The sequence below is a fragment of the Homo sapiens genome, chromosome 4 (genome assembly GCF_000001405.40).
Source record: "Homo sapiens chromosome 4, GRCh38.p14 Primary Assembly".
Lineage (NCBI taxonomy): Eukaryota > Metazoa > Chordata > Mammalia > Primates > Hominidae > Homo > Homo sapiens.
The window spans coordinates 56755720-56767647 of NC_000004.12; the positions used below are offsets into that span (position 1 = coordinate 56755720).

The following is an 11928-nucleotide window of genomic DNA, read 5'->3' on the forward strand; positions in this document are numbered from 1 at the left end:
CTCTCCAAATGCATTCGAGTCTGTTAGGAACCCAGGCAGCCAAGTTTTGTACATTGCGTTTACACATGCCCGTGTATCATGTTATTTCCGAGGTGAGTCCAGTCTCCCCCCGGCATTAAGATCTCCACGTGAGTTTTTCGGGGTGGCCCATCTGAAGTCTACTCCAGGAGGGCCTGAGGAACCCCGTGGACAGAACTCTCCTAAAGGAAGAGGGAACCAGACAGAACGAATTTGTGCAGAGGGGAGACAGGATCTCTAGTAGAGTTTGGTGGCTGCTGCTTGTCCGAGCCCAGGATCACCATCTACTCATGTCTGAGTCCTATGGGAGCAATAACCGAAAGAGCTCTTTCAATTGAGAACACTCACCCAATTAGAGGACAAATACACAAAAGAAACCCCTGCAGGGCATTGGGAGAATATAAACAACATTGCTCATCTTCCTTTCCTGAGACTGCAGTAACAAATTACCACAAACTAAATTCTACACAACAGAAATTTATTGTCTCACACTTCTGGAGGTCAGAAGTCTGAAATTAAGGTGTCAGCAGCACCAAACTCTCTCCAGGGCCCTGGGGGACAATCCGTTCCTACCCTCCTCTGTCTTCCGATGTCCCAGCATCGTTCCACATCTCTCAGTTTTCCATTGACTTCTCCTCTGTATGTCTTCTGTAGTATGTCTGTGTCTTGTCTGTATGTCTATCTTTTTTTTTTTTTTTTTGAGACAGAGTTTCGCTCTTGTTGCCCAGGCTGGAGTGCAATGGCACCATCTCAGCTCACCGCAATCTCTGCCCACTGGGTTAAAGCGATTCTTCTGCTTCAGCCTCCAGAGTAGCTGGGATTACAGGCACCCCGCTACCACGCCCAGCTAATTTTGTATTTTTAGTAGAGACGGTGTTTTTCCATGTTGGTCAGGCTGGTCTTGAATTCCCGACCTCAGGTGATCTGCCCACCTCAGCCTCCCAAAGTACTGGGATTACAGGCGTGAGCCACCACGTCCAACCCCTCCGTGTGTCTATCTTATAACGATACATGTGATTGCATTTGGGGTCCACCTGGATAATGCCGAATAAGCACCTCCTGTCAAGATCCTTAATTTCATCACATCGGCAAAGACCTTTTCTCCCCAGCAAGGGAACATTCACAGATTTAGGGGTTTGATGTGGATATCTTTTGGGGGGTCACTTTTTGGCCTACTGTACCACTCCTATATCCTAACAACAGAGTGAAACCTATAAAAAGGGGGCCATGATGCTGTCTCCCTACTTTGCCCTGCACTTTAGCAGCACAGGGTAGCAGTGCCAGACACTGGCAGCAGAGTCCAGGACATAACATTGAAATTGAACTGACTTAATCATAAGGATGCAAGATAAACTCCTGTGAGCATTCAGAAATATCTAAGATGAGAAGCAGAGAGGGCTAGAATCCTGCATTATTAGCAAGAGGGGACAAGGAATACCCTTCGACCTTACTATTTGACAGCTTTGTACATGAAAAAACTAATACACAAAGCCCGTGGTTGGCTTGAAGGAGGTAAGGAAGAGACTCTCTGTATCCTCTGGTTGTGACTGTTCAACCCATCCCAAGGGATGTAACTCCCAGTGCAGTGTGCTCTGACTCACAGGGAACAGCCAGCTTAGTGCCTGTCAAGGCCTTCCCTCCCAAACCCCAGGCAGCTGGATTCTGCAGGCTGGTTCTGGATCTGGGTGGTACTTTCCAGGCCCAGCCTGACACCAGTTTTAAAGGCCACCCCGGGTATCTATGGGCTCTGGGAGACGTAGGATGGAAATGACCCAAGGCCTGGGATATACACCAGGCCACAGCCAGAATGCAGGCAGTTCAGGCAGCATGTGTAGTAAATACACACTAAGATGTAATCCAGCAGGCCCCCCTGTACCACGCCCCACAGGTGGCACCAGCGTATAAAACAACCTGACAGCTACGGGCTGGAGAAGAGACACAGGCTGGCCTGGACAGGGTGTAGACATTGTTAAACACTTAGTTGAGTATCTGTGGGCAAGTCTTGAGATCGCTAAGTAGAATCTGAGCTTTGTTTCTTTGGTTTTTGGTCTTTTTTTTTTTTAAAGAAAGTACAAATACAAATTATGTGATTCCCTTTTCTCCTCTTAGACTGCCTTGCTCATCTGCTGCTTGGTCGAAGCCATTTGCTCCTCCCCCACACGCTTTGCTCATCAAGCAACCAGAGCGTTCCTGCCACCTGAGTCATTCTGTCCTGTGCTGCTCTGTCACCCTGTGAGTGTGAAGCCCCTGCTCCGGCCCTCCAGGAGGAAGGAGGCAGAGTGAAGCCAGGCATCTCTGGAGCCATGCGTTTGGCTTCAAAGTAGGAGGGACTGGGACTCTTAGGATGGAAAGTCTAGGGTAGGAGGGCAGGAGCTTGACTTTCAGCAATAAGGTAGGGAGGGAGGTGGTTTTACTGCAGAGGACTGGGTTTTACTTGCTATGAGCCTGTTTAGCTCTTTAAGAGCTGAACCTAAGTGTTTTTTTTTAAATATAGTTATTTATTTTGGGCTCCAGCTTCCTGCAGTTGCGGTTTCTGTCAGACTAGTTTGTTAAAAAAAGCACTTAGAACACATACCAGAGGACAGGAAGAAAGCAAAATACTGGCACTTTTGAAAAGTGTTGTTTTTACATGACTTGAATTTTAGTTCCTACTCAGGGTTAAAGGAAGTTCTCTTCCGAATAAAGAGTGCCTGTTGGGTGAGAGAGGATTTGCAACTGGAGTTGGAGATTCTGTGTCATTGGAGACATTTGTTCGTATGCATGGGCTTTAAAACACCAAGAAAAAATATACAGGAGAGTCCTTCCTTTTGTTATATACTAGCTGTGTTCCTGAAAACGTATATGAAAACATTAAAAAACTGATCCCTATTCAGAACGCAACAGGTGAGCTCACTAAAGGGCTCTTACCAGAAAGTCTTATAAATTGAGGCACTTGAAGGGCTGGGACTAGGGTGAGGTAAGGAAGGGGATGCCTAGACTCTCGGTAATTAGGATAAATGGTATTTTAATGCAGTATTTTAGCAAATCAAAATTAATGCAAAAGAACTGATCATGAACAATAACCAAAATATTAAGTAAAGATAGGATTCACCCCTTCCCCATTCTTTTTGGGGGTTTCAAATATTTGCAATTGCTTTATTTTTTGTTTTGAGACAGGGTCTCACTCTGTCACCCAGGCTGGAGTGCAGTGGCACGATCATAGCACACTGCAGCCTTGACTTGCTGGGCTGAAGCAATTCTCCCATCTCAGCATTCTAAGTAGCTGGGACTACAAGCAGATGCCACCACTCCCGGCTAATTTTGTTTGTATTTTGTACTGACAAGGTCTCGCTATGTTGCCCAGTCTGGTCTTGAACTCCTGAGCTCAAGCGATCCTCCCGCCTCAGCTTCCTATAGTGCTAGTGTCAGAGTCATTTGAACCAGAACAACTCCATTTTGAATAGAGACTGGGTAAAATAAGGCTGCGACCTACTGGGCTGCATTCCCAGAAGGTTAGGCACTCAAGTCACAGGATGACATAGGAGATCGGCACAAGATACAGGTCACAAAGACCTTGCTGATAAAGCAGGTTGTGGTAAAGAAGCCAGCAAAAACCCACCAAATCCACGATGGCAATGAAAGTGACCTCTGGTCATCCTCACTGCTCATTATATTGCTAATTATAATGCATTAGTATGCTAAAAGACACTGCCACCAGCGCACTGACAGTTTACAAATGCCATGGCAATGTCAGCAAGTACCCTATATGGTCTAAAAAGGGGAGGAACCCTCAGTTACGGAAATTGCCCACCCACTTCCCAGAAAGCTCATGAATAATCTACCCCTTGTTTAGCATATCATCAAGAAGTAACAATAAGTGTAAGCAGCTGAGCAGCCCATGGCGCTGCTCTGCCTATGAAGTAGCCATTCTTTATTCCTTTACTTTCCTTTCTTTTTTTTTTTTTTTTTTTGAGACAGAGTCTCGCTCTGTTGCCCAGGTTGGAGTGCAGTGCCACGATCTCGGCTCACTGCAAGCTCTGCCTCCTGGGTTCACGTCATTCTCCTGGCTCAGCCTCCTGAGTAGCTGGGACTACAGGTGCCCGCCACCACACCCAGCTAATTTTTTGTATTTTTTAGTAGAAATGGGGTTTCATCTTGTTAGCCAGGACGGTCTCAATCTCCTGACCTTGTGATCCGCCCGCCTCGGCCTCCGAAAGTGCTGGGATTACAGGCTTGAGCTACCACGCCTGGCCTGTTCCTTTGCTTTCTTAACAAACTTGCTTTCACATTACTCTGGATTCGCCTTGAATTCTTTCTTGCAAGAGATCCAAGAACCTTCTCTTGGGGTCTGGATCAGGACCCCTTTCCAGTAACACTAGGATTACAGGCATGAACCACCACACCTGGCCTAGAATTGTTTTCATCAAACCAGAATGTAGGACCACTATGTAAAGAGGCAGTGGGGGATCCATGAGGTCCAGGAGTGGAAAGGAAAATGGGAGTTTAAATCTGCTGTGACCATATGTGGGAGCCTGGACTGACATTCTCAAGGAGTACTGCTGACACATTTACTTTCTTCTTTTGTTTCTTTATGCCTGGTGGGAAGGAAGTCCTCCTCCCGGTAGAACTGCCTTTGCAAAAATTATAACAGTGAGACAATTATGGCAGTGAAGGACAGCTGATCTGGCCAACCTCCATCTTACCTTTGGACTTCAGGCTGCCCTTAATTAATCCTAGGCTTAGGCCAAGCTAACTTTGGGAGACATCTAGTTTCTTTTTTTTTTTTTTTCTTTGCAAGAGTCTGCTTTTAATTTTTATTTTATCAAAGAGAATCACTTAAGTCAGTATTCATTTGAGTAATCTGGCTTAAATTAGGGAACAGTCAACACTGGATTGCCATTTTAAGTTTCCAGATTAATACAAAATTAGTGTCAATAGTATAGGTTAAGCTGAAAACTTTTATAGTCAGAAGTACGGTGAGACTCAGTTTTACCTATTAAATCAGTTTTATCTATAAATCTGATTTTGCTGTAAAATCACGCTAATATTACACGCTTCAAAAAACATGCTTTTCCTTTGAGAAACTTTCTACATCTCAGCCGAAATGCCTTAATTTCATAAAATAAATGTTACAATACAAAAATCTTTTGTAAAAATATCAACTATATATGAATTAAAATCAATCTCTTCTTTTGTTAAAAGTTACCTGTAATTAAGAATGTCAGAACAACTGAGCCCCCATTCTAAAGTTTCTGTGGTGAAGTCATCTGTATTTCCTAGGTCAGTAAACCCAACAACATAATCTTGTGTTTTCCCATCTTTTACCAGTGCTAGTATGGGAATGACTTTGATATGCAGTCTCTCACAAAGGAAAGGTGCTTTTTCCACATTCAGCTTCAAAAATTTGGTCTCGAGGTGTTTCTCGGACAATATCGCCAGAAATCTGTCTAGTATTTTACACCTGAATGTGGAGTCTCTGTAGAAATGGCAAACCACTTTTTTACTCTCCTTGACTTCTTGAAAAAAGTCTCTTTCACTAGGGATTTCTCTGTATTCCCCATGTCCTTTGGAAAGCCATTCTTGTTTCTGCTGTTGAGCTTTCCTTAGTGCCTCGAGTCTCTTTTCTTTAATGTGTTCCAATTCATCCTCATCCATCTGATCCAGTTTTTGAATTTCAGAATCCAAATGTTCTTCCACCAGTTTGGTAGTCTGAAGCAGCTGATTCTCCAGGACTTTGGAAAACATGTCAACAGATGCATCAGCTTCCATTCTTCTGAATGGTACAGAGTTCAGCCTGGGTGCTGAGCTCTCGGTGATGCCTGAGAAGTGAAAGAGCAGCAGTTTCAAAAAACAGGTCCACTCCGGCTTTAACCTTGCAGTAGCTGCCAGCGGCTAGGGAGACATCTAGTTTCTAGTTTAATTGATAGCAACCCTTCCCAAAAATTCAACCGCCTTTGTAAAGCTAATGAGAGACCACAAGACTAGGATGATAGAGAAGCCTGAATTCTGCTAAGGTGTAGACATAAATGATTGCCAGCCATTATTCTGGGGATCACAAGATATCCAACTTCCCCAATTACTCCTCCAGATACCATCACTATTGTATAACCTATGATTGGCCTTTGGAGATATCTTTTCAGGTTTTTTGCATGTCACAACCGATGGCTCCACCTGGACTTGGTCACGGTTCCTGTGGCCCCAGCCAGAAGGGGCTCAGTGAGGATGAAGACCATTTGCCACACCCCTATGATTGCGCCCCCAACCAATCAGCAGCAAGCACGATTGCCTAGCTACCCCTTCCCCTAAACTATCTTTGAGAAACCCTAGCCTTTGAATTTCCAGAGAGATCGATTTGAGTAATAACTCTGTCTCCCAAGTGACATGATCAGCCTCGTGTCTATTAAACTCTTTCTTTATTGCAATGCCGTCATCTCAGTGAATTGGTTTTTGTCTGCGCAGGGGGCAGGAAGAACCCACTGGGTGGTTACACCTGGGCAGGTGCTGCTTCCCTGAAGGACCAACTACGCCATGATGAGGAAAAGGGTAGTGTGTGGGTACTTTTCGTTCTGTCCCACCAGATCCACTTTGCTCCCTGCTCTGTGCTTTGGTGAGCTGATCTTCTTGAACTCTATCAGCAAAGATCCCTGGGGTCCTGTGTTGGAATTGGGTTAGGAAAATGGGAGGTAACAGCAGGAGATCAGAGGTTGGGAGAAGAGAGAGGTCACAGTATTGAGTCCCTGGCTCCTTTCCAGCTGGGCTTCAGGTCGGCTGTTTACCTAACTGGTCAGTTTCTTTTCTCAGCTCTTCTCTCTGAGCTTTGTAACCACCCTCAATCTCTTTTGACCTAAAGGTGATATTCTAGCACTGGCATGCCTCAGCATCCCTTATAGGTTTCCCTCAACCCTTTTGTAAATAACCTTTTAGTAATCTCTCCTCCACTGCCCTCTGTAGGTGTAGGATCTGTCTCTTGCGGAAGACTCTAACACAAGTCGTGAGTGCCTATCACCAAGCAAAGGCAGGGCGCAGTCCAGGCATCAGGCCCCTTGGCTCTCACAGTTACCTTTCCACTCGGAGAATAACGCAACCCTGCCCCGCTTTTCTGGCTTTAGATCCTGTGCACAGTTAAGGGCACCTGTGAATGAGCTGCAGGAAGTTTAAAGAATGGATAATTCCCATTAGTGTCATCTCTACCTCTTTGGATTTAAAATATTTATTCAAGAATGAGAAGCTTGATCTCATTCCTGAGAACATCCAATCACATGCCACTGAGAGGGGAAAGCCCCTAGTCAGCAGAAATAAATACAACTTAGTAATTGTATCACCACTAAGCTTTATGACGTGTTCCAAAACATTGAAAAGAGCAGGGATTTCCGGCCCCAGACAAGATGCTCTGTGCCTCTGCAACTGAGATGACAGGTGAAGCCAAGAAACCAAGAGGCTTTGCTGTGCACCTTTAAGTTCGTGTCTCATACCATATGGCTCCCCAGAGTCCACGACACCTCTAATGACCACCTTTTTCTGGTTGAGGAAGCTATATGATCAGCTTTTTGTACTGCTACATTAAAAAAAAAAAAAAAAAGTGGAGCCAGAAGTTCGATGTGGCACAGGGATTGTGAGCACAGGCCAGCATTGAAAAGCAATGGAATCAAGGATTGCATGTGAAAGCACTGAGTGTGGGGCCTGGGTTTCAGAGCTGCTTTTCCCCCATCAGCACAACCTGATGGAAGCCTGGTCTTTGTAGAAGGAAGCAAGGGACTCCTAATCTCCTTTTAGAAAAGTGCCACTTTCTAGGTTGTTTCTACCCTCCCTCCCTCCCTCTCCTCTTTTCTTCCTTCCTTCATCTCTCTCAACCAGAGTTCTCACAAGCAGCAATATCAATAGATTTATTTTCTTTTCCTTTTCCAGCCTAGCACTGAAGATGCCAATAAATATAAATAAAAATGGGCCAGGTGCAATAGCTTATGCCTGTAATCCTAGCACTTTGGGAGGCCAAGGCGGGTGGATCACCTGAGGTCAGGGGTTCGAGACCAGCCTGGCCAGCATGGCGAAACCCTGTCTCTACTAAAAATACAAAAAAAAAATTAGCCAGACATGGTGGCGGGTGCCTGTAATCCCAGCTACTCAGGAGGCTGAGGCAGGAGAATCGCTTGAACCCGGGAGGCGGAGGTTGCAGTGAGCCGACATAACACCACTGCACTCCAGCCTGGGTGACAAGAGCAAGACTCCGTCTCAAAAAATAATAAATAAATAAAAGCCATTCAATAAAGTTCATCTATGTGATAGTCAAAATAATGGGCGCCTTCAGGTGGTAAAGAGAGAGATGGGGAGTGTGTGTGTGCTTGCATGCATGTGTGTAAAATTGCCAAGCTTCACACCAGATTTTTGCACTTTGCTGTATGTAGATTATATCCCAGTTTCTTTTTTAGAATTGGAAGAGACAACCTACCTGATAGTGATACTGTGAATTAAAAAGTGTCTCCTTCTACTCCTAGCTCCACCACGGAGCTCCCTTACACATTGCTGATCACTGCCTGAAACTCCAGTGTGAGATCTACTTGATAGAATGAAAAAAATAATAATTATAAAGCCACAGGAAGTTGCAAAATAAACATACAGGGAAGTCCTATGCTCACTTCTTCTCCCCTAATATTAGCATGTTTCATAACTATAGTACAATATCAAAACCATGAAACTGACATTGCTACAGCCATGGACCTTACTCAGATTTCATCAACTACACTTGCACTCTTCTGTGTGAGTGTGTTTATGGGTCTATGCAATTTTATCACATGTGCATATTCATGTAGCCACCACCACACTCAAGATACAAAACTATTCCATTATCACATTTGATAAAATTTTAATAGGAGAAAAAGTCGTATTTGCAGTCCTCTCCCAACCCCCCTAAAAGAGAAAAGTCCCCTGCTGTATTTACTGTTCTTTTTTGAGGCAGAGTCTCACTCTGTCCCCCAGGCTGGAGTGCAGTGGTGTGATGTCGGCTCACTGCAACCTCCGCCTCCCGGGTTCAAGCGATCCTCCTGCCTTAGCCTCCTGTGTAGCTGGGACTACAGGCATGTACCACAAAGCCTGGCTAATTTTTTTGTATTTTTAATGGAAACGGGGTTTTGCCGCACTGGACAGGCTGGTCTCGAACTCCTGAGCTCAAGTGATCCGCCTGCCTCAGCCTCCTAAAGTGCTGGGATTACAGGCATGAGTCACTGTGCCTGGCCACCTGTTCTTTATTATGCTGAGTGGAGTGATGATTAGAAGAATAAGAGACATCTTGCTTCCCTGATGACTGTTACTGACCTAGAGATGGCTGTGCAACCTGACTGGGCATTCGGCCCACACAGACTGAGCAGAGGATAAAGAGTCTGTGGTTGGGAGAGACATTTTCCCTCCCTCTCTCTCTGCCTCACTCTTACACCCCTCTGTTTCTCCAGGTAAACCTCAATAAGGAAGCACTATAGTCTCTGATGATTTGGGCAGATATCTTACAGCCTAGGGAAAACCAACCTTAGGATGAAGCTAAGGACACCTCAGTGAAGGGGAGGAAGAAGCCTGAGATCTTAACGGTATCTTGAAAAGCTGATTCACACAGTTACTGGAGCCCATCCTTACTCTAGACTTACAGCGAGACAGTGAAATCTCTCATGGTTTTAGTCCATTTAAGTTAGGGTTTTCTGTATTTTTCAGCCAAAAGCAAGATAACTGAAGCGTATCTACAAAAATCCTACAGCTAACATCATACATAATGGTGAAAGACTGAATGCTTTCCCCCTAAGATCAGGAACAAAGCAAGAATCCCCTCTCACTACCTCTATTCAATATCATACTAGAGGGTCTAGCCCAGGTAATTTAGTAACAAAAAGAAATAGAAGGCAGCCTGACTGGAAAAAAAGAAGTAAAACTATCTCTATTCAAAGATGACATGGGCCAGGAGTGGTGGGTCATGCCTGTAATCCCAGCTTGAGGTCAGGAGTTCAAGACCAGCCTGGCCAACACGGTGAAATGCCATCTCCACTAAAAATACAAAAATTAGTTGGGCAGGTGGTGGGCATCTATAATCCCAGCAACTCAGGAGGCTGAGGCAGGAGAATTGCTCAAACCCAGGAGGCAGAAGTTGCAGTGAGCCAAGATTGTGCCACTGCACTCCAGCCTGAGCAGCAGAGCAAGAGTGTCTCAAAAAAATACCACAAAGATGACATGGTCTCTCGTACATAAAAAATTCTAATAAAAACAAATACACAACACACACAAAAACACTAATAAATATGTTCAATAAGGTTGGAGGATACAAGATCAATATACAAAAATCAGTTGTATTTCTGTACACTAGCAAAAACAATCCACAAATGAAATTAAGAAAACAATTTAATTTACAATAGCACCAAATAGGATAAACTACCTAGGAATAAATCTAACAAAAGAAGTGCAAGATTTGTACACTGACAACTGCAAAGTGTTGTTGAAAAAAATTAAAGAAGACCTCAATAAATAGACATTTATGGTTATGGATCAGAACACTTAATATTGTTAAGATGGGCCAGGCGCGGTGGTACACGCTTGTAATCCCAACACTTTGGGAGGCCAAGGCGGACGGATCACTTGAGCTCAGGAGTTCGAACCCAGCCTAGGCAACATAGTGAAACCCCATCTCTAGCAAAAATACAAAAATTAGCTGAGCATGGTGGCATGCATCTGTGGTTCCAGCTACTCAGGAGGCTGGGGCAGGAGGATAGCTTGAGCCTGGGAAGCAGAGGTTGCAGTGAGCTGAGATCGCACCACTGCACTCCAGCCTGGGTGACAGAGTGAGACTCTCTCTTGAAAAAAACAAACAAACAAACAAACAAAAATATATATATATATATAGTTAAGATGGCAATAATCTCCAAATTGACCTACAGATTCAATGCATTCTCAATCAGAATCCCAGCTCCCATATGCAGAAATTGACAAGCTGATCCTAAAACTTTGTGGAAATTCAAGAATAGCCAAAACACCCTTGAAAAAAAAAGCAAAGTTGAAAGATTCATATTTTCTGATTTTAAAACTTACTACAAAGCTATAGTAATCTAGACAATGCAATACTGGCATAAAGACAGACATATAAATCAATGAAATTGAATTGAGAGTCCAGAAATAAAACCTTATGTTTATGGTCAACTGGTTTTCAACAACTGCCAAGACAATTCAATGGGTAAAGAATAGTCATTTCAACAGATGGTGCCGTGACAAATGGATATTCACATGCAAAAGAATTAAGTTGGGGCCGGGTGCGGTGGCTCACGCCTGTAATCCCAGCACTTTGGGAGGCCGAGGCGGGCGGATCACAATGTCAGGAGATCAAGACCATCCTGGCTAACATGGTGAAATCCTGTCTCTACTAAAAATACAAAAACTTAGCCGGGAGTGGTGGCATGTGCCTGTAGTCCCAGCTACCCCAGAGGCTGAGGCAGGAGAATCGCTTGAACCTGGGAGGCGGAGCTTGCAGTGAGCCAAGATCGCACCACTGCACTGCAGCCTGGGTGACAGAGCGAGACTCCGTCACAAAAAAAAAAAAAAAAAAAAAAAGAATTAAGTTGGACCCCTACATCACACCATATAAAAATATTAACTCAAAATTGATCAAAGACCTACATAGAAGAGCTAAAACTATAAAATGCTAAAAAAGAAAGCAGGTGCACATGTTCATGACCTTGGATTTGGCAATTTCTTAGCTATGATATCAAAAACACAACTAACAAAAGAAAAAATAGATAAATTAAACTCATCAAAATGTAAAACTTTTGCGAGTCAAAGGATACTATCAAAAAAGTGAAAAGAAAACCCACAGAATGAGAGATAATATTTACAAATTACATATCTGATAAAAGACTTGTATCTAGAATATATAAAAATTTCTTATAATGCAGCAACAAAAAGACAACC

At 43.9% G+C, this 11928-nt stretch overlaps 1 pseudogene, besides 4 other annotated features; it reads right to left on the bottom strand.

The window, feature by feature from the left end:
• Window positions 2073-2142: an enhancer, noted in NCBI's record as "active region_21582". NCBI's record gives its function as "activates an Ori minimal core promoter by ATAC-STARR-seq in GM12878 lymphoblastoid cells {active_cell/tissue: GM12878}" and the evidence as "EXISTENCE:reporter gene assay evidence [ECO:0000049][PMID:35858748]".
• Window positions 2473-2532: an enhancer, noted in NCBI's record as "active region_21583". NCBI's record gives its function as "activates an Ori minimal core promoter by ATAC-STARR-seq in GM12878 lymphoblastoid cells {active_cell/tissue: GM12878}" and the evidence as "EXISTENCE:reporter gene assay evidence [ECO:0000049][PMID:35858748]".
• Window positions 2663-2832: an enhancer, noted in NCBI's record as "active region_21584". NCBI's record gives its function as "activates an Ori minimal core promoter by ATAC-STARR-seq in GM12878 lymphoblastoid cells {active_cell/tissue: GM12878}" and the evidence as "EXISTENCE:reporter gene assay evidence [ECO:0000049][PMID:35858748]".
• Window positions 3804-4645: an enhancer, noted in NCBI's record as "NANOG-H3K27ac-H3K4me1 hESC enhancer chr4:57625689-57626530 (GRCh37/hg19 assembly coordinates)". NCBI's record gives its function as "activates a minimal SCP1, AML or CMV promoter by ChIP-STARR-seq in primed H9 embryonic stem cells {active_cell/tissue: H9 hESC(primed)}" and the evidence as "EXISTENCE:reporter gene assay evidence [ECO:0000049][PMID:30033119]".
• LOC285453 (TXNDC9 pseudogene) lies at window positions 5193-5891 on the bottom strand (annotated as a pseudogene).